Here is a 21,344-nt window from a genome sequence, read left to right as displayed (position 1 = left end):
ATAGCCTTCGGATTTTTTTCACATACATGTGCAGATCATTGTCAGGCAAAAATTCAAGGAGACCTCTCTTTAGATCTCTGAAGCCTTCTGTCTATGCAGACTCTTCTCTGCTTCATCCTCTCTCAGCTCAGAACTTTGACTTTTCAACTCAGCAACACCCTGGTTTCTGTTTTAGTTCCCCTTCCCTGCATCATGGCCTGGAGACCTTCTCCAGACAATGATCAGGGGCACGTATTGGGTTCACCTCATTTGTTTCTCTTTTCCAGAATTACTGTGTGCACTGTCTGTTGTGCAGTGTCTGAAAACTCAGACATTGCTTAGTTTTGTATTGGTTTAAGGTGGGGCGTTAATCTGATCCCTGTTACTCCATCATAAGCAGAAGTGGAAGTTTTTATAATTTAAAACTTACTTTCTTATATGTGATGTTGTTTGTTTGGATCCAACTTCATTTCAGTCAAGCCCTAAATCCCATGGATTATGGGCTTAATTAAGCAATGAATGATATTTTGGAGAGAGCCTTGAATGGAGTCATTTTGCCAGGTCTGTCACTCGCCACCTGTCATTTCATTTCTATGAGCCTCAGTTTCTCATCTACACAATTAGGGTGATAATCAAATACCTTCCCAGCTTACCTTATAAGGTGTTTGAAAATGAAATGAGATGGTATGTGTAAGAGCACCTTAAAACTTATATTTACACAGGTAAACAAGACTGTGATTAGTACTGCTCCACATAATATGTGAACTAGATCCAGTGTCAGAAACGTAGGGGATGACGGCTATTAAGAAGCCAGTTGAAGAAGGGCTTAGAACCCATTTTCTCTACCTGCACTGAAATTCTTTTCAAAATATCCTTGACAAATCCCTCTGATCAAACCCTAAAAATTCGAGTTCCAAATATAGACACATCACTCATTAAGCTTTTTTTCAAATAGAACTTCAATGCCCAGCTCCGGCTCTATCCTTTAAATTGCTTTATATTTCTAAGTACATCTTGTGCCTCAACATTCTCCGTCTCAAAAATGAAATTACTATACTCCTATTTCTATTAGTTTCTTTTGAGGAACTTTGAAAAACCTTTCAAAGGTATGGCATTGTGTAAGACTTCGTTTAAGTGTGTGGAAAAAGAAGGTGCACTTCTTTGCCCTGACATTGGCCTTGGGGTGGGAAAGAGCGTTATGAGTTACAAAGGTAGCTACTTTGTCTGTTATAAACCTCTGGTGTTCTCACTTCCACCATCTCACACATACACATACCTCATGGTTTTAAAACACAGCCACAATTCTGTGACACTCCCCACTTTAAGAGGTGGAGGGCTATATTTCCTCTGGTTAAATCTAGACATGCTTGTGACTGCTTTGACCGACAAATATGGGTTAGAGGTGATGTTATGTGACTTCTGAGCCTAAGTCTTAGAAGGCCATTTAGGCTTTGGCTTGTTTATGGGAACACTCATTCTTGGCATCCCAAGTTGACATATCAGATTTACTCTGAGGCCACCATGCTAAAAAGGAAGCCAAAAATATATGGAGAAGCCATGTGTAGACATGCCACAACTTAGCCCAGCCTTTGAGTCACCCCTCCTCTGATGCAAGACTTGTGGGTGAAGAAGCCTCCAGATAATTCTAGCTTCTGGCCATTCAGGTGACTTCTAGTTGTTCACGTCTTTCCAGACTCAGACACAGTGAAGCAGACACAAGCCATACTCAAATTTTCCATTAATGTACTATATTTTAAACCAGAATGGTACTCAGTCCCTGCTCTTAGGGAGCTTACAACTTAGTGGTAGGGAGCCTTAGAAATATCAGGACTCGCAAAGCCTGTTACTCGATCTGAGTGCTGCTTATGTGGTGTGTTCACCTGGCTAAAACTCCATGCACTTCTCTGTAGATACACATTTTATCTTACAAACAAAACTTCTCTTCAACACACATTTTATCTTACAAACAAAACATAGTAGTTTGAAATCCACACATTAAAGCAATCTCATAATCTAAACAAATACGAAGTATCTTCAACTTCTCACACTGGAATTGTTGGCTGATGACAGAATTCTCTGTCATGACATCTCTATTTAGGCTGTCTCATCATTAGCCTGATCCTATTTACCCAGAAGTCAGACGTGTGTACAGAGGTCCTAAGAAAAAGCTTATTTTCCATGTTGTATTATTATGGGTGGTTTCTAATCAGTTTCACTTCTTCATCTTAGACATTTGGAAAAGAAGAGGCAATAGGATAAAAAGAAATAAATATCCCCTTAAACCAACTGCTAATTTATCTTGTAGTTTGTTAATTTTTCTATTGAAATTTGTCTGAAAGTCTAGCTTCTGACCCATTAAATAAAGATCATTTCTATGCAGTAATCTGACACACCTACCCCCTTAAAGGAAACCTGATAATTGTTCAGAGTGGAGTGGAAGAAAGTTATTGTAGAAAAAGGGTGTTCTTGGCTTGGGACTCACGTCCCTCAGTGCTAGGGAGAAGCAAACACAAATCACAGACTGAGCATTAGATTATCTCGGTGCTATCCAAGTGGACAAAACGTGACAAGTCCTTCATCTCTCGGGGCCTCACTGAGGCTCCGGATCCTGTGAGTTAACCAGTGAAGTGACTTGCTAAAATGTGCGCAGACAGTAGTGGCAGGTTGGACTGGCCTTGTGGCTTCTGGTTCCAAGTCAGTGTTCCTCCCACCACGGAAGTTTTAGGTATTATCCGCTGGAAACATGATTCATCAGAGACAAGTGGTGGGTTAGGGGTGCTCACAAGCGTGTGTGTACAGGGGGGCCGCTGTAGTAACCAGGAATGCCTGACCCGGGGAAACTGTACCTTAGTAATTTAAGCAACTACAAAAAGGTTTTGATATTATAAGGGGTCTACACTACCCACATCCAGGAGCATTCTAGTCTGAAAACAATATTCCTTGTTCCCTAGGTTCATATGGAAAAGCTACTGGACCTTAGATTCTGTGAAACTGACCTAATGTCCTTGTGTTCTGCCTGCTTCAGTCAGCGCAGTGAAACTGCAGGTGTACATCTTAAATACCTGCTCGGTGTGTGTGTGTGTGTGTGTGTGTGTGTGTGTGTGTGTGTGTGTGACAGAGTTTTGCTCTTGTTGCCCAGGCTGGAGTGCAGTGACACGATCTTGGCTCACTGAAACCTCCGCCTCCCGGGTTCAAGCAGTTCTCCTCCCTAGCCTCCTGAGTAGCTGGGATTACATGCGCGCGCCACCACACCTGGCTAATTTTTGTATTTTTAGTAGAGGCGGGGTTTTACCGTGTTGGCCAGGCTGGTCTCGGACTCCTGACCTCAGGTGATCCGACCGCCTCGGCCTCCCAAAGTGCTGGGATTACAGGCGTGAGCCACCGTGCCCGGCCAATCCCTGCTGTTTTAATCACAGTTATTCTGAATTAGGAACTTGGTGGGTTTCTCTTCGATGACTATGGAGAGATTTCCGTGGGTTGAACAAGGAACTCCACTACAGCGTCTTGTAGAAAACCCGAGCTGCAGATTCCTGGACCCCGCACGGCGCGGGAGGCGGGGCTGGCAGGCCTGGCCGGGTCTCCCCTCTCTGCAGCCCGCACCTCGGCCGTGGCCAGCAGGGTTTGGCCCCTTGCTTTTCACGTTACCTTGTTCAGGACACGCCTTAAACTGAAGGCACCCTGTGGATGAGGAAAGGCGCAGTGGAACTTCCAGAGACCAGGCTAGAGGGGGCGCAAAGCCAGGAGGCGTCGCAGCGGCTGGTTAGAAGCACTTCCCTCGAGCTGGGGCACTACCGGGGCGCACAGGAACCTGGTAGTCCAGGCGTGAGGTCAGGAGCCGTGCGCTGGGGTCTGTGCTCTGGCCTTTGTAGCCGCAGCCTCACCCGCCTTGTATGGGAAATGGCTCAGTCCTAAAACTCTGGGCCTTCTGCTTCGAGGGTTGTGTGGAGGCGGGGATGAGCCAGTGAATGGGAACCTGCTTTGCAAAGACTGCCAATCAAGTACAGACAAATCAGCGTGATCAAAGATGGTGATGATAATGACTTCAACCTCTAGCCTGGTGTGAGGAACTAAAAGCAACCACAGAACACTTGCACCCAACGCCTGCGGGCGCTGCCGCGGGCCTCCGGAGCATGCGCGGTGGCTCCGCCCAAGGCAGGCCGTGGGCCCGGGACGCGCCTGGTCCGGTTCAGAGCTCCGGGTTCGCGGCGGGTTCGGAGCAGGTGCCAGGGGTACCGTGGCGGGATTGCCCTCTCCCTCCCCCTCCTTCTCCCCCTCCCCCTCTTCCTCCCTCTTCTCCTCCCCCTCCCTCTCCCCTTCCCCCCAGGGCAGCTGAAATTCCTCCGTTTGGAATAGAATAAGAACAGCTCCTGGAGAGGAAAGTTGTGGAGGCCCGACTTTTTTTTTTTTTTTTTTTTTTTTTTGGTTTTCGCCCACTCACGATTTCATATTTCACAACTCAGAAAAGTCTACTAGGAGCTTTTACAAACACTGTGTCAGCCACCTTGTATTATCCCCATTTTACCGGTGAAGAAACTGAGGCCGATAGTAGTTAAGTCAGTTATCAAAATACAAGTGAATTGCAGGAAATTGGAATTGGGGATTTCTGGCTTCGGGCCCTGTGTCCTTGGAAACCAGTGTTCACAGAACTACCGAGCTAAACGGACAGAGAAGGGGGTCGGGGAGAAAGGAGGGAAGGAAAAGAAAAGAAAGAAGGAAGAAAGAGAACATCTTTTAAGAGAGTGCAGTTCAGGTGACTCACGCGGGAGGAGTGAGCTGTGGTGGTGCCGCCAGGCCGGCTGCGTGGAGCACGCGCGGTGTCCAGTGCGCCCCGCGTCACCACACCCGGCCCTGCCTCTCCGCCTCTGCTTGGCGGCCCCTGCAGGAACCCCCAACCGGTCCTGCTGCGGGTCAGAGCCCCGCAAGATCCGGCCCGGTAGCCCTGGGCCTCGACCTTTCTCCTCCAGGTCTTCCAGGGTCCGCGCCGTGATGATTCGCCGCACCTAGCCTCGACCCAAGAGCCGCTGGACCCACCGCTGGCCGCGGCCCCGAACCCAGCGCTGGCGACAGCAAGTGTCGGGATGCCAGGGCTGGCGCCCTCCCCCTCTAGCTCAGCCCTCCGAACTCCAGGCTTTGGGGTCGCGTAGGGTCGGCGCGGAGCTCTAGGACTGAAGGTCGCAGTGACCAGAGAATCGGCGAGGTTATGGAGACCCCGCGTCCCTTGGCGTCGCCTGCACCAGGGCGCGCTCGCTTACAGTTGCCAAGGTGCATAAATGCGTCGACGCAAGGGAATGAAGGAATGGAGCGAGCGAGCCCGGCTACCGCGGTGCTGACAATTTCCAAGCCCCGGGCGGCGCCCGCGTCAGCGCTGGGAAGGTTAATGTTCACCTCCTGGACAGCCCAGGCTTGCAAGCTCGCTGCAGAGGAAAAGCAAGAAACTAAACAAGTGCAGACAATAATCACAGCACGTATTCTCTGGCCCCGTCCCCGTTGTTTTCTCTGTTGTTGCCATCGGTGTCTGGGATCTAACTTGACCATTCCGTGTTCCCTGGGGAGGGCGCATCTTCCTAACCTGGTGCCCGGGCGCGGCCCCACGGCTTTCGCGCTCTGCTCTGGGGCCTTGCAGGGAGGGTGCTACGGGCTGCGGCCGGGAGTGGGGACGCCCGTCGTCGGGAAGGGGGCGCTGTCCCCTCGTGGCCTCCGACCCTGCAGAGCACTGCCACCGCCCTGGAGCTCAGTAGGGTCAGAAAGTGTCGGGGACGAGCTCTTCCCGGGATCCTCCGCCGCCGCTCAATCCCCCCGTGGGACCCTCTTTCTCCCCTTTCTCAAATAGCTCCCTTCTCCTGGCCGGGCGCGGCCCTGGATCCCACGAGGCGCACTCTGGCCTAAGGGTTTTGCTGGAGGCATATGCGGGAAAGGGGTTGGCCAGTGGAAATGGCCTGGGCTTTGCAGGGTTGGGAAGTCCGCCTAGATGGAGGACGCACTCTCTGCAAACGGCCCCAGGTGGGTCCCCCGCCGCTTCGCCTCTGGTTCCAGGATGCTGCCCCAGCGGTGGGCACCCTGTTCTCTGCTCGAGCTGCGCAGCGCGCGCCCCGCCCCACACCCTTGTATTCCCGGCCCACCAGTGCAGCGGTTGGGGCGCACCGGCCTAGGGTGCTGCTACTGAATCCTGGCTGGAAAAGAGGGGCAAACCCAGCCATCTCTTTTGTGCGGAAAGCTAATTCTCGGATGAAAATTGTCCCCGGCTCTAGAGGTAAAAATTAGGACGTGAACACAGAGACGCTGCAGTTCACCTTACACTTGCCGGGTCTTAGCCGTCGGGCCCGTTGCATGTTGCATGCAAGGCATCGGTCGCTGCGCGCGGGGACATTGAAATCCGGACTCAGGCTCACGGGCTTCATGCCTAGAGTTATATTAACATCAAGCATCACAGGCAGGGTTGGAGCTTTCTCTGCATTTATCTCACCGAATCTTCACAACAGCCCCGGAAAGTCAGTCTTATCATTGTCCCGTGTTAGGATTAGGAAAAGAGATCCAGAGAGATGTGACTTGTCCAGAGTCGCGCGTTCAGTCACCTGAACACTAAGGTTCTGACTCCGGACCCCACGGCACCCCCGCACCCCCACAACGCTGCCTCCTTCCAGGATCACCTCTGTGGAGCCCCGCACATGGGTGGCGCTCAGTAAATTTTAAATTCCAGGATCTAGTCAAACCTGCCGACTTTCATTCAGTAGGTGTCTGAGCTATATTTGCTCACTCATTCTGCAGGCCTTGAGCGCCTACTGTGTGCCGGCGCTTATATGAGAGCGCGGGAACAGAGCTCCTCACAGGGGGCCGGGTGACAGGGGAGCTGCGGTGAGCGCGGCCGAGAGATGGCCGTGAGCTCCCAGCCTGCAGTCCCCAGGCTGCACGTGGGCCCGGCGCGCACGGTCGGTCTACACCAGGGTGTGCAGATGAGGGAAACTGGGGGAGTTCGCAGGTCGCAGCGCAGCCAGGGGGGGACGCGAGAGGGCGGGAGCGACTCCACTCGGAGAAGCGGGACTGCCAATCGGAGGAAGAAAGAAAAAATATAAGGAGAAAATTCAGGGTGAGAAGAGCCAGAAGTGAGGGAGCTGGAGGCCTGGACCCGGAGACTGGGTGCGGGTGGAGTGAGAGGAGAAATCAATCAGGTGGCTGAGAACCAGAACGACGGCCTCGCCCTCCTGAGAGCCAGGGGCGGCGGGGGCGTCGAGGGGTCTTGGGTGAGCACTGCACAGAACCCGAGGCGGGATGCGGCCCCCAGCCCCGGCTCCGGCCGGCCTCTGTGGCGGCCCAAGTTGACTGGGGCTGCGGTGGCCGAAGCCCGGTCATTTTCGAAAGGAATGGCAGTCGGAGTATTAAGAACGGCTGCTCTGAGGGGTTCATGGTCAATGTCTCTCACACCCAGGCGGGCTCGGCGAAACCTGGTTGGGTTGATTTTCTGAGGCCACACGCGCAGGGAGGGCGGTGGAGTCTGGCCCGGGCAGGCAGGGGCTGGAGCGGGCCTCCAGCGCCTGCCTTGCGTCTCTGCGGCACCTGCGGGTCCAGGGCAGGGGGCGGGAGGCGGCCCGGGGCAGCCGGGCGCAGATCCCCGGGCGGGCCCTGGCGGCGGAGGGGCGGGCCGGGGGCAGGCGCGGGGAGGAGGCCCTCCCTCACTCCCTCCCTCCGTCCTCCTCCCGGCAGGTCGGAGCGGGGACCCGGCGGCGGCCCGGGACGCAGGGAGGGGACCCGCGCCGACACCGAGGGAGGGGCCGCGCCGCCTTGGAGAGTCATTGGAGGACGCGGCCGCCCGAAGCTGATAAATCAGGGGCCGGGTCGCGGCTGCGGGCCAAGTTGGACGCCCCGACCCGTGCGAGGGCCAGGTCCGCGCCTGCCCCGCCAGGCGAAGCGAGGCGACCCGCGTGCGGCCATGGCTTCGCTGCTGGGAGCCTACCCTTGGCCCGAGGGTCTCGAGTGCCCGGCCCTGGACGCCGAGCTGTCGGATGGACAATCGCCGCCGGCCGTCCCCCGGCCCCCGGGGGACAAGGGCTCCGAGAGCCGTATCCGGCGGCCCATGAACGCCTTCATGGTTTGGGCCAAGGACGAGAGGAAACGGCTGGCAGTGCAGAACCCGGACCTGCACAACGCCGAGCTCAGCAAGATGCTGGGTGAGTGAGCGCGCGGCCGAGCGGGCTGGGGGCCGGGGGCGGGCGGCGGGCGGCTGGCGGCACTGCAGGGCGGGTGCGAGCGCGGAGCCTGGGGAAGACCCGGCACGCGGGACGAGGGCCCTCTTCGTGCCCGCGTGGCTGGCCATCTGCGCGAGCGTGGGTGCTCGCGGTGCCCAGGATTCAGAGCGGGGGCACTTGGCGCGGTCCAAAGTGAAACCGCGCGGCGGGCAGGGAGGCTCCTCTGCTGGGACAGGAGCGGAGATCGGCGCCCCAGGGGGCGGGGAGACGGGGCAGCGGCCAGGCCAGGACGCCTGGCGACAGGGACCGGCGTGCATGGACAGGGCAGGGACGGAAACGTTTGAGGCTGGGTGGAACAGGCGTTTACTAGGAATACCGAAGCGGGAAAAGCCAGCATTCCCTGGACCTTACAATTGGGCCATCTCAGAGGAAGGCTGTCACAGATGAAATTATAATTAACGAATATTCCCGAAGAGAGACCCTGAGGAACGAATCCTTGCTTTAACTAAACAATTAAGAGGAAAACAAAACAAAAGAAAAAGCTTACCCAAATAGACTCGATTCGTTCATCTATTGCTCAGTCTCGAAGGTGTAGATAACTTGATTCGGATGCTTGGGCTGTCCTGGAACCCGCTCTCTTCCTGAGCTGTCCCCGCAGGGACTGGGGACACGGACTCACCAGGTCCAAGAGGTCCAGAGTGAGGCTGTTAGGACACACCCGAACAACCGGAGTTCCTATGGGGGTTTCTTTTTTCTCCGGTGTCGAGCTGAGTACTTTTCAACCCTGCCTTCTTTGCCTTTCGACGAGGTTTTTATTCGTTTTAATCCGCGAAAAACTTTCAAAGCACTTGGTGCACGCAGCGGGAGACAGGCCCTGTAAGAAGGGCACCCGAGGCCGGCTCTACCCTTCCCAAACCCCACCCGGTCCGGAACAGAGCCCTTCCTTTTTTCGTCGGAGTTCAGAGCTCAGGGCTCTTTCCCGAGGCGGAACTTTGGGGATAGGACTGACGCCCCTCTTTCTGCTGGCTAAAGCCGCAGGCCCGCAGAGGGGGTCCCAGGCCGAGCCCTCCTGCGGTTTAGCTGCTGTGCAAAGCAGTTGATGGAGTGCTGGTTGCCAAGGGCCCAGCCTGGTGGCCGGCTGCACCAACTCGCCTTAGTGGTCTGGGGCCTTCTGGGGCCTTTTCCCTCAACAAAAATAGTAACATTTGTATTTTACACAGTGTTGGCATAAAGACAAATGTGTTAATATGTACAATAATAAAACATTTTATTTAACCTGTAAGTTTATATTTTTCTTCAGATTTTAAAAGAAGTGAAAATATGTTTGTTGTGGATCCCCAAACTTTTTTTTCCACGGACCGTGGGCACTGTGCCTGTTGACCCTGCCAACAGGGGGAAGCAAGCCCCTGCTGTGACCGTGACAGAGGAGGAATTCTGTGCAGGCCTGGGCCAGGGAATGGGGAGGAGAGAGGAGCATGGCTCTGCAGAGTTGGGGAAGCCTGCTCCCAGGAAAGGGGCAGGGACAGGGACACAGGAGACAGATGCTTCCTGCGAGTTGGTCCCCATCGGGGCCTGCACTTCAGCTTCAGGAGGTTACAGTTCATTCTGCAGAAAAGACACAGATTCCTTCCTGCTGAGCCATGTAGCTCCTGGCACTGGGTGAGGGAAACCGCAACACTGGTGCTTTTCACAATATGGACTTGTGCACCTGTTAGTAGGGGGCAGCAGGATGATCCCCTCCACCTGTGTGACATTTCCTTCTCAGCTCTTTCCTTTCTGACCTGAGAGGAAAAGGCTGGATATGCGAGTCTCAACTTTTTCCACTATAAACCTTCCAAACCTTAACATTAAAAATGTGACCTAGTCACACTGGTATTTAAAATATATTATGAATGAGAAAGTGCATAAAGAGCAGTAGACCTTTGGTAGCATTTTTAAATGAACACGTATTTTATTAGTTATATAACATCCAGGTACATTTAAAAGCTACGGCCACATTTTATATTGAGACCACAGACAGAGTATGGGGTGCACCTGCATCTTGGGTCACTTGCCACAGCTTTGTAGCCTCAGCCACAGGCTGGGAACTGACGACCAGCCCTGAATCTGCAGCTCCTAACACTTTCAAGTTGCCCTTTTGAGTGACAGCTAATGATGTTAATTGAAAGCTCCATGGAATTTCTATAAATTTTCTCCCAATTGGTACAATGCCCTTAATCATTGCCCTCCCCTGGCTCTGAGCCCCTGGCCCAAGGAGCCAGTCAACGGAGGCACTGAGGGCTGCTGTGTGCACGGCTCTGCACCTGGCCCTGTGCAGAATGTGCTGAGTGGAACACAGGGCCCTTTCCTTAGGCCTTAACCTCTAGGCTAGCGGGTCTCAAACTTCAGGACACATTAGCATCATGGTAGAACATGTTAAAGTTGTAGAATCCTGAGCCCACCTTAGGAGGTAGCAAAGCAACCCAAGGGGTCCAGAAGCCCCCCACCCCTAGAAACCACTGCAGAAGGGTGTGCAGTGCACACTGATAGATGAGGGAAGATGCTCCGGGAACTTGAAAAGCAACAGACAAGCAAGCAATGGTGAATAGAAGATCAAGCGCAGCCAGCATATTAGCACCAGTGGGTTGCAAGCATGGAATAATTTTTAAAGAGAGAGTTTGGAGCTGGAGAGTGTCACAATATCTTTATTTTATACTGAAGAAAATAGAGACTCTGGAAAGTGCAGGGAATGGCTTCTGCATGGAGATCTGTGGCTAAGCAGGTGCCCTGGCACCGTCAAGGGTCCCCAAAAGATGGCTGGCTGGAAGTGACGGTTTGCATGTATATGTGTGTGCATGCATGTGTCTGGGTGTGCGTATATGTGTTGCAAGCAGATGCTAGCATTCTGGCCTCAGTCATCCAGCAGGGTTCTATTCGACCTTCAGAGGTAAGGAATAGGTATTTGTTAACCTAAGTGAGAATCTCTGATTTACTGACATCTGTGAAAGTATTGACTGAGCCTGGGTTCCCTCCCAGAAAGGGCTGTGAGATTTATGCCATAGGTAAATATGATAGTATCTCTTTAGCCTGCACTAATCAATGAAGGCAGAGATTTTCATGAGAATACACAAATGTTTAGAATGGACCCTGGAAGGGTAAAAAGAGCCCCAATCAATATCGTGATCATTAGATATTTTCTTCCCGTAGCTGACATATGGTCAGGTGGGCTTTTCACTGGGGACCCCGCATTGTAGTGTGGGCACGCTCTGGCGGCTTTTATATGAGAGGTGATGCTTTCTGTGTGCACCGTGCACGATCTGGCTTTCTGGATGCAAGCAGAGGGGTTGATTTCGCTTCACTGTGCCTGCAGGATCTGGGCTGGGAAGAGGGTGCAAGAGATGCCCGTGTCCTCTGTGGCTGGGAGGGGGAAGGGAGGTGTGTGTGCATGTGCACGTGTGTGTGCACGCGTGTGCATGTGCGATGCCTGCGGGGCACAGCACTGAGCATGGCCTCCTCTGCCTTGTGTGAGCAGGAAAGTCGTGGAAGGCGCTGACGCTGTCCCAGAAGAGGCCGTACGTGGACGAGGCGGAGCGGCTGCGCCTGCAGCACATGCAGGACTACCCCAACTACAAGTACCGGCCGCGCAGGAAGAAGCAGGCCAAGCGGCTGTGCAAGCGCGTGGACCCGGGCTTCCTTCTGAGCTCCCTCTCCCGGGACCAGAACGCCCTGCCGGAGAAGAGAAGCGGCAGCCGGGGGGCGCTGGGGGAGAAGGAGGACAGGGGTGAGTACTCCCCCGGCACTGCCCTGCCCAGCCTCCGGGGCTGCTACCACGAGGGGCCGGCTGGTGGTGGCGGCGGCGGCACCCCGAGCAGTGTGGACACGTACCCGTACGGGCTGCCCACACCTCCTGAAATGTCTCCCCTGGACGTGCTGGAGCCGGAGCAGACCTTCTTCTCCTCCCCCTGCCAGGAGGAGCATGGCCATCCCCGCCGCATCCCCCACCTGCCAGGGCACCCGTACTCACCGGAGTACGCCCCAAGCCCTCTCCACTGTAGCCACCCCCTGGGCTCCCTGGCCCTTGGCCAGTCCCCCGGCGTCTCCATGATGTCCCCTGTACCCGGCTGTCCCCCATCTCCTGCCTATTACTCCCCGGCCACCTACCACCCACTCCACTCCAACCTCCAAGCCCACCTGGGCCAGCTTTCCCCGCCTCCTGAGCACCCTGGCTTCGACGCCCTGGATCAACTGAGCCAGGTGGAACTCCTGGGGGACATGGATCGCAATGAATTCGACCAGTATTTGAACACTCCTGGCCACCCAGACTCCGCCACAGGGGCCATGGCCCTCAGTGGGCATGTTCCGGTCTCCCAGGTGACACCAACGGGTCCCACAGAGACCAGCCTCATCTCCGTCCTGGCTGATGCCACGGCCACGTACTACAACAGCTACAGTGTGTCATAGAGCTGGAGGCGCCCCGTCCGGTCAGCCCTCGCGCCCTCTCCTTCTTGTGCCTTGAGTGGCAGAGGAGCCGTCCAGCCACACCAGCTTTCCTCCCACCGCTCAGGGCAGGGAGGTCTGAACTGCGGCCCCAGAGCCTTTGGCCTAAGCTGGACTCTCCTTATCCGAGTGCCGCCTCTATCCCCTTCCCCACGTTCCAGCCCCTGCAGCCCACATTTTAAGTATATTCCTTCAAGTGAGTTTTCCTCCAGCCCCTGAGAGTTGCTGTCTCCCAGTGGAATGTTCACTGACGTCTTTTCTTGGTAGCCATCATCGAAACTAATGGGGGGACAGACTTGATAGCCAAGGTCCCTTCTGGTCCAGTTTTCTGATTTAGGGTTCTCTCAAGATTAATAAAGGAAGATGGGGAAATTTGACTCATTAATGAGCTCGCTAACCTACGATCTGGTGATAATTTTGTGTGCACAGCCCAAGGACCACGAGGCTTTCTGCACTTTCTGCACCCCCTTCCAAAGTGACCACAAAATTTCAAAGGGACTCATACAATTTGAGAAAAAACAGTCAACCTGATTTGAGAAATTAACCAGTATGGCTAACTATATCACAGAAAATGGGATTGAGTTAAAACTATTTTATTTTAAATATACATTTTAAAGCAGTTCTTTTTTTTTGTTAATTTGTTTATTATACACACACTTCAAGAGAATATGCACAGTCTAGGCCGGGCACGGTGGCTCACGCCTGTAATCCCAGCACTTTGGGAGGCCGAGGCATGTGGATCACCTGAGGTCAGGAGTTTGAGACCAGCCTAGACAACATGGTGAAACCTTGTCTCTATGAAAAATACAAAATTTGCTGGGAGTGGTGGTGCATGCCTGTAATCCCAGCTACTTGGAAGGCTGAGGCAGGAGAATGTCTTGAACCTAGGAGGTGGAGGTTGCAGTGAGCTGAGATTGCACCATTGCACTCCAGCCTGTGCAACAAGAGTGAAACTCCATTTCAAGAAAAAAAAAAAAAAAAGAATATGCACAGTCTGAATGTATACCAGGAGTGTGAGAGACACATGCCCACTTCATGCAACTCCTAAACTCAAAGTCTAAATCAGATATTTTTATTAACAATGACAACTTGTTGCCAACTCCCTGTTTCTAATGACCAAAGACCCAGGGTACCTAAAAGGACTTTGCAACCAAGCAAAGTCACTGTCTTCAAATCTGGATACACACTTTCCCCTCTGTAGATTCAAAAGGTGCTTCCTTCCCGGCTGTCTCCAGCTTCCTTACTCTCTTTTCTGGGATTTCTTTTTCTCTTCTTTCTGCTCTTCCTCCACTGCTGAACTGGTCCCTAACTGAAACAGCCCCTGACTTATCCCAAGCATGCTTCCTTTAGCTGCTGTGAGAATTTGTCTTCCTCACCAGCCAGGTCCTCAGGCAAAGTCCTCAGCCAGTGCTTTAGAGCAACTTCCCGCAAATCAGAAACTCACTGTGATTCCAAAAATGTTTCTGAGCCCTGGACCCCTGCCCCCAAAATATTTTCATCTTTCCCCCAAACCTCCTTTAAAGGAGCATGCATAACAGTGTGCTGAAAGACAGTTGTTGGTTTTTTGATTTTAGCATATTATTTCCTGTATGAAATATGTTTTATATAATCTCCTATTATTTTTATCTTATGTTTTGTATTGTTGATAAATCCTTTTTGTCCTTCTAAGATGTCCTATTGTAAAATCACTTATAAGGTATGATTACTCTTTATGCTATTACTTTATATGCCATTTGGTAATAAATAGTAAATTGTTGATGATATGATTGACTGATGCGCAGTCCAGAGCATGTATGAATAATCTCATAAAACAGTATCACAGACATTAAGCTAAACTGTTTCGTTTTTTTGAAAGAACAACTCATACTTTGGAACAGTTGTCAATATTAATTTGTTGCAAATATTTAATTTAAATAAACATTTTTGTACCATGACTGTTCTATCTTTTGAAATATAGTTTTGCAAAAAGAAAAGGTTTCCAAGCAAGACATAAATGTTACATCGGGTGCTACTTGTGGTATTGATCAACATGTTTTCTACATCGACTTTTTTATTTTAAAAAGTTGTTATCTGGTAGGGATGGTTTATTTTATTTTATGAGTTATGCTAAAGAGATAAATCCAAATTTTACGCATTGGAATCTGCTGTTTTTATTGACAATGAAAGAAAATGTCAACTCATGACCTACATGTAGAACAATTTTCTCCTTGTGACGACTTTACACTCGTAAAGTGGAATGAGGTGACTATGAGGCTGTCTGAAGAAGGAAAGTAAGTTTTGTCTACTCGTTTGCTTACTTAAAACTGTCACAGCTATTTTTTTTTTTTTTTTGTATTTTTAGTAGAGACGGGGTTTCGCCATGTTGGCCAGCCTGGTCTCGAACTCCTGACCTCAGGTAATCCACCCGCCTCAGCCTCCCAAAGTGCTGGGATTATAGGCGTGAGTGTGGTGGCAGGTGCCTGTAATCTCAGCTACTTGGGAGGCTGAGGCAGGAGAATTGCTTGAACCCAGGAGGCGGAGATTGCAGTGAGCTGAGATGGCACCACTGCATTCCAGCCTGGGCGATGGAGTGAGACTCTGTCAAAAAAACAAACAAAAAACTGTCACATTTTTTTTCTTCTTTTTGAAATAATCTCGAAACACACCTGTGTTTATGGATGTCCTGTGGAAATATGTCACAGGCTCTCAGAACTCAATGGGACATTGTGGAGAAGGCAGGAGAGCACACAGAGTAATAATGAAAGGATGCAAATCTAGTGAGGGTTAGGAGCAACATCCCAGCCAAAAAGCACTGGAAGAAACTGAGGATGACTCAGTCCCTGTGCAGGTCACCTCTGTCTGGCTTTTGTCCATGGGCAAGCAGTTGTAACTTGCTGGAGTTAAGGGCAGCTGTGTGTTTTCCCAGGCCCTCTGGGCCAAGGAGTGAGTCTTGGGAGAGCCCAAATGGGCATGCGTGTTCCCTTCAGTTCTGATCCTAATCTGTAGTCATTACTTTAATAGCACTTTATAGGTGTGCAGAGCTTTACGGAAAGTTTTATGGGCTGTTTCTCATCCACAGCCCCAGGTGGGGCCCGTCATCCACCCACCACGTTGTGCAGGAGGGGACACAGAGGCCCGGGGTGGGCGTTGGCGAAGGGTGGCTGGCTCGTGTGCCATGTTACCTGTGTTTTAGCATCGTCAGATGTGTGTTGGCAGCACTCGTCGGTCTCACTGCTGGAGTTGGTGCTGCCTGACTTTCCCCACTTTACTATGGCATGGAGTCATATGAGGTCCACTTCATACCCATCATGGCCCAGGGAAAGAAAGAAAGAGGAAAGGATATCATAGGCCAGAGTGAGATGACGCTGAAGACCTTGCTATCCAGGCCGGTGGCTGCAGCTACGGCCCGTGCATCTGCAGTGTCACCGGCTGCCTGGAGCTCCTGTCTACCAGTGCCTGCCTGCCACGTCAGCCCGCCACTGCCTCATGGGCATGTTTCATTCCAGGACACACTGTGGGGGCATGGTTTCTGTCTCTGGGAGGGCAGGAAGCAGGCTGACAACCAGGCCGCTCTTCCACTGTGCTCAGCTACGGGTGAGACAGTCGTGCCCAGGAGCCAGGGGCATCTTTGAGTTTTAGTTGCCCATTCTGGCACATCGCTGCCTCTGGTGCAAAGAACATGTCTTGCTTTAGCCAGTGGGAATCAATGGCAAGGCACAGTTAGAAGTTCCTTTTCTGAATCCTATGTGCTGCAGTTCCACACTTTTCCCTAAGGTCCCTCAGCGCCGGCTTGTTGCCCAGGGCACACAGGTAGCACCAGGGTGGGTTCACTGTGGCTCCTACTCTGGGCCCCTAGCTGTGCAGGGTCCTGGGAGGGGCCTAGTCATGCGTTCACATGGCCACTGGTTTGTAAAAACTTTGCAAAAAGGAAAATGCTTTTGTATTCTTTAGGAGTTCCTCACCCCCTGCCCCAATTGTGCAAGCCTTAAACCTCATAACACTGGGCTCAGCCCCCGTGTGAGCACCCCTGTGATTGATCCCGTTCTTTCCAGAAGCTTCTCACGCAACCCTTGCCTGTTGCAGTGTACCCTACCACAGGGAAGCCTATGGGGCCAGGGAAATTCTCGCCTTCTCTCTGTTCCTGTGTTTTCACCAATGCTGATCCTTGATTCCCTGACCTGGGCGACCCTCACTTCTGTCACCATCTGGTGACATCACACTCACTGTCCTAGTCCAGCTCAGACATGCCCAACCTCACTCAGCAGAGCGGCCAGTCACTCTCCTCCCCAGGCGTCCTCCACAGGACTCGGGCAGACCTTGGTTACTTCGCTCACTGCTGGCCCTGGAACCGTCCGCCCTGTGCACTCTCTCCCGCGGGTGACCCACAGAGGCTGCTGGACAAACAAATGAATAAATATATAAATTAAAAAACCACCTGGGATGCCCTGTAGGTATGCTGTTAATCTTGGTGGTAAAGACCTGAATGAACCCTTCTGCGTCTCTAAGTTTAACTCCCATTTCCTTGGAAACCAAGACCTTGGGTTCTTTGTGTGTGTCCTTCTTGGGGCTCTGAGGCTGGGTCTGATGTGGCCATGACTATTCTCCTGCACCTGCTGGAGTGTAGCCTGGCAGAATTGGGGTGGGATATGGGCACGGAGACATAGGGAGAGCACTCCTCTCCTGCCCCAGCGTGGAGCAGCAGAAGAGGGCTGAGGGCAGAAGATTGCTGTCATCCATCTAGTCTGCCTTTCCTTTTGAGGAGGCTGTGCTCCTGGTTTCATCCCAGTGAAAGGAATTTGGAAGGGATGGCAGGGCAGGGGGCGGGGGCGTTGGGGGCGCGGGGAGGGGGGAAGGAGGGAGGAAGGAAGGAAAAGAAGAGAGAGACATCTATATGAATCTACTTAGCTGTCTGTCTATATATCTATCATCTATCCATCCGTCCATTCACCCCATCTCTCTCTCTGTCTTTCCTTCTTTAATTATCGTTCCATACACTCCTTAATCCATATACACCCATCCATCAATCCAGCCAGCCATTCAGCTGTTCATCCTACCTTTTTCTTTCTCTTTATTTCATTTCTTCCTTTCTCTCTTCTCTTTTCCTTTCTCTTTTTTCATTTTCTTTCTTTCTTTTCCTTTTTTCTTTTTTCCTTTCTTTCTCTCCTTTCTTCCTTCCTCCCTCCCTTTCTCTTCCTCCTTCCTTCCTTTCTTCCTTTCTTTCTCTCTCTCTTCCTTTCTTTTTCTTTCTTTCTCTTCTTCTCTATTCATCCATCAACCTACCCACTCATATATCTGTACATTCAGCCAGCCAGCCATATATCCTCCTACCCACCCACACCTCCATTCATCCATCCCATACCTTACCTGCCTTCTCACCCACCCATCTATTATCTATCCATCCATCCACTCTCCATCCATCCATTCATCCATCCATCCATTTACTCACTGATATTTCAATTCTTAAAAGGGACATATAATGTTTGTCAGAAGTATAGAAAAAAATAACATCATAAAGAAAAAAGTAAGTCATCTATTGTCCACAACTTAGAGACACTAATGGTAATACTTTGGTTATATATCTATCAAGCCCCTTTTTCTTTTTTTGATGTAGATATAATGCATATATACATGTCTTTTGTAATAGACATTTTATCCATTAATATTAAATGAACTTTTTTCTATGCCATTAAATTCCATTTTTCTGCAAAAGATGTTCTCTTCCTAGTTGAAAGATTAATATAAAAAAACTGTGGGGGGGGGGCGGAAAGAAAAACCACCCACTCCATGACCTTTTTTCAACACACTCATGTTTGTTCACTGAATTCCCTAGTCCCACATCCATGAACACATAATTGTACATGCTGTGAACATTGTGTAGCTATAGAGGCCACTTGCATTCAGCTTTCTCTGTTCAACATTCTGTTGTAGAAATTTTACCACATTCATATCCATCTTCATATTTATCATTTTTGATGACGCAGAATACCACACTTAATACAGGGGTCTTATTTTACTCGACCATCCCTTTGCTATCAGATCACTAAATTGTTCCTTTTTTGCCATTATCAACAGCACCGCAGTGAACATCTATTGGTTTGCACCCACAGCTGGATTCCCATCAGGGAATCACTGGGTCTAAGCACATGAGCATATTTGCAGGCTTTGCTTCAAATGGTTCGTTGGTTTCCCAGAGTCTGAACTGATAGTCGAAGGAAAAATGACTCCTTTCCATTCCCAGAATGAATTCACTTTTTCTTAACGGGAAGAATTAAAGTCTGAAGACTATTTATAAGACTGCCTTCAATCTGACCGGGCTCCGTTGCGTCACTTGTCCTGGCACCTCTGCCTTCTCCTGTGCTTCCTGACGGCTTCCAATAGCAAATCGGGAACATCCATTTCCCCAGACACCACCGTGAATGACACACTCTTCCTTGGCTTCTGACCCATTTCTACTGCTCTCAGCCCAAGACATGTGAAAGCGGTTTTTATCCTGAGTTTAAGCGTCAACCACTTATATGGGGCAAAGTATTGCTCTATGAGTTACCAAGGCAACTGGATTGGTCCTCCCAGGTGTCCCAGGTGCATGCGCCCATGCTGCTGGCAGCATCCGCAGGTTGCTCAGAGCTCCTGATACAGGGGGAGGATGCCCGAAAACAGTCGAGACCTGGGGGCATGGTCTGGCCCTACCCATCACTGGATTTTAATTGGGACTTGGGTAAATCCCTGGACCGGTTCTGTCATCTAAGGAGGTTATGAGTGGATTCATATGCATTTTAGAAATGGCAGAGCTGTATGTGAATGCATAGGAGGGCTATTGCCTATTTTGGAGTTCTTGAGACCATTTGGATGTTTTTAGGCCTGGAGGCAGATACTAGCTTGAAAAATCCAGAGCCACGTGTTCAGCGATTGTCACATGGTATGGATTGTGAGGGAGAAATGAGGGGAGAGGACCCCCCGAGTAAACTTAATGTAGACTATAGAGGAACACTGTCAGTTTCCTTCTTTGGGCGCAAAACTGGGATTGAAAGAGACCATTTGGGTCCTTTTTTAGCCTATTCTCCTTCCTCTAGTGAGGATGTCCTCTTTGCCATTCTTGGTAGATGGGCTTCTATTTGGCTGGAGAATCCTGAAAAGAAAGAGGAATTGCTGGCCGGGCGCGGTGGCTCACGCCTGTAATCCCAGCACTTTGGGAGGCCGAGGCGGGAGGATCATGAGGTCAGGAGATCGAGACCATCCTGGCTAACACAGTGAAACCCCATCTCTACTAAAAATACAAAAAAATTCTCTGGGCTTGGTGGTGGGCGCCTGTAGTCCCAGCTACTCCGGAGCCTGAGGCAGGAGAATGGCGTGAGCCCGAGAGGCGGAGCTTGCACTGAGCGGAGATTGCGCCACTGCACTCCAGCCTGGGGGACAGAGCGAGACTCCGTCTCAAAAAAAAAAAAAAAAGAAAGAGGAATTGCTTTCTATAAGTTAGTCTAACAAGCTTCATCATCCAAAAGTCCTTCCTTCCGTCTCACCTAAGTCCCTCCTGCTGCAGTCCAGGTCCATGTCTGCTGACGTCATCTGCAGAGGTTGGAGCAATCCTGGTCCCTGCTGGCTGGCTGCACCCTTCTTTCCCCTGGGGACTGTGTTTGAGCCTCGGGTAGGGCCTGTGGTTTCCTCTAGACCCCCTCTCTGGTGTGCGTTCCCCTTACTTAGAGGCCGAGTGTCGCGTGGATGTGGGGGTGGGAGGGAGGAGATAAGGCTCATTATACAAAGAATGGGAGAGGAAAGTGGGGTTTCAGCAGGGGATGAGACGGGGTGCTCTGCGGGTGCTTCTGGAATGTTCTGCATGTAGGTGTAGTGTGTAGTCATTTCTCAGAGGCTCATGCTCATTCCTGGCTCAAATGGTGTTTGGTTCCCCATCCCTGACCACTGTCCTTTCTTATGGTTACTCATCTCCATCTGTCTGAGTGGCTGTGGGGTGGCGTGGTTCTGGGACAAAGTTGGAGGGGGGACGATAAAACGTGGACAATATTCCACCCAGAAAAGTCACTGGCTTCTGATGAATGAAAGGTCTGCAGCCTCCAGGGGCCTCAGGGAGGCTGGTCATTGGGTTTTAGATGTTCCGATGTTGACACCTGTGAGGTAAGGCTGTGATTTCCAGGCCTGAGAGGTCGTGCAAAGTGGGTGGGTGGCCAGAGGCATCCCTGGCTTCCTGCTTTCTCAGCACAGTAGCTGGTGTTCCCATCCTATCAGAGAACCCGAGAGGGCTTCGTAGCTCCTCCATCCCCATCCCTGGGAGCCACAGAACTTTCTTTTTCTTCATTCCTTTCCCTGAAAAACAGCAGCACCGGCTCCCACAGCTCAGGGCACCGTGAAAGTCATGGAAAGCATGAAACATCATAAGATCTGCAGGAGACAGGAGACTGTAAGGGATCCATCCTGTCCTCCCATCAGGCCATTCGGAGGCATCCTGAGGTAAACAGCAGAGTTGCATTGGTGCCAAAAAGAACCGAGGCTTGAAATTAGAAGACTGTAATCCTTAATCAAGCTCTGTAAGCTTGAAAAATAAAATCACTGACTGTTTAGGCTGGCGGGAGTCACTGTCAAGCTCAGATTTGATGAAAGAGGAAGTGGAGGCCCAGACAGCGAATGGTGTCCTCCCCAGGGCACAAAGCAGAGAGAAGTCGGTGAAGGATTGTGGGGGGAGCGTGGGTGGTAGGGGGAGAGCTGGGGAAGTGGGATCTC

At 51.4% G+C, this 21,344-nt stretch overlaps 1 protein-coding gene and 1 long non-coding RNA gene across 2 annotated transcripts in view, besides 4 other annotated features; one reads left to right on the top strand and one right to left on the bottom strand.

Moving 5' to 3' along the window:
- SOX7-AS1 (SOX7 antisense RNA 1) overlaps positions 1-9,046 on the bottom strand; it is a 43,620-nt gene extending 34,574 nt beyond the window's left edge. The window contains exon 1 of the long non-coding RNA NR_146188.1: positions 8,707-9,046. This is a non-coding gene — a long non-coding RNA (SOX7 antisense RNA 1). The remainder of the gene's footprint in view (positions 1-8,706) is intronic.
- Positions 3,541-4,183: an enhancer, noted in NCBI's record as "H3K4me1 hESC enhancer chr8:10591664-10592306 (GRCh37/hg19 assembly coordinates)". NCBI's record gives its function as "activates a minimal SCP1, AML or CMV promoter by ChIP-STARR-seq in naive H9 embryonic stem cells {active_cell/tissue: H9 hESC(naive)}" and the evidence as "EXISTENCE:reporter gene assay evidence [ECO:0000049][PMID:30033119]".
- Positions 5,945-6,769: an enhancer, noted in NCBI's record as "H3K27ac-H3K4me1 hESC enhancer chr8:10589078-10589902 (GRCh37/hg19 assembly coordinates)". NCBI's record gives its function as "activates a minimal SCP1, AML or CMV promoter by ChIP-STARR-seq in primed H9 embryonic stem cells {active_cell/tissue: H9 hESC(primed)}" and the evidence as "EXISTENCE:reporter gene assay evidence [ECO:0000049][PMID:30033119]".
- Positions 7,618-7,757: a silencer, noted in NCBI's record as "silent region_18915". NCBI's record gives its function as "represses an Ori minimal core promoter by ATAC-STARR-seq in GM12878 lymphoblastoid cells {active_cell/tissue: GM12878}" and the evidence as "EXISTENCE:reporter gene assay evidence [ECO:0000049][PMID:35858748]".
- On the top strand, positions 7,826-14,569 carry SOX7 (SRY-box transcription factor 7). The gene is made up of 2 exons (NM_031439.4): positions 7,826-8,141; positions 11,671-14,569. The coding sequence occupies exons 1-2, from the start codon at positions 7,904-7,906 to the stop codon at positions 12,597-12,599; spliced, it is 1,167 nt and encodes a 388-aa protein (NP_113627.1). The 5' UTR covers positions 7,826-7,903; the 3' UTR covers positions 12,600-14,569.
- Positions 21,216-21,305: a silencer, noted in NCBI's record as "silent region_18914". NCBI's record gives its function as "represses an Ori minimal core promoter by ATAC-STARR-seq in GM12878 lymphoblastoid cells {active_cell/tissue: GM12878}" and the evidence as "EXISTENCE:reporter gene assay evidence [ECO:0000049][PMID:35858748]".

This window comes from Homo sapiens, chromosome 8, assembly GCF_000001405.40.
Source record: "Homo sapiens chromosome 8, GRCh38.p14 Primary Assembly".
In the NCBI taxonomy this organism is placed as follows: domain Eukaryota; kingdom Metazoa; phylum Chordata; class Mammalia; order Primates; family Hominidae; genus Homo; species Homo sapiens.
Note: the sequence above shows the minus strand (reverse complement) of the source record. Positions and strands in the feature narration are given on the sequence as shown.

Bases quoted from the DNA above. Each gene is read 5' to 3' on its own strand.
- SOX7 (NM_031439.4), top strand. From the start codon at position 7,904: ATGGCTTCGCTGCTGGGAGCCTACCCTTGGCCCGAGGGTCTCGAGTGC. The intron at 8,142-11,670 runs GTGAGTGAGCGC...TTGTGTGAGCAG, and splicing joins CGAGCTCAGCAAGATGCTGG to GAAAGTCGTGGAAGGCGCTG.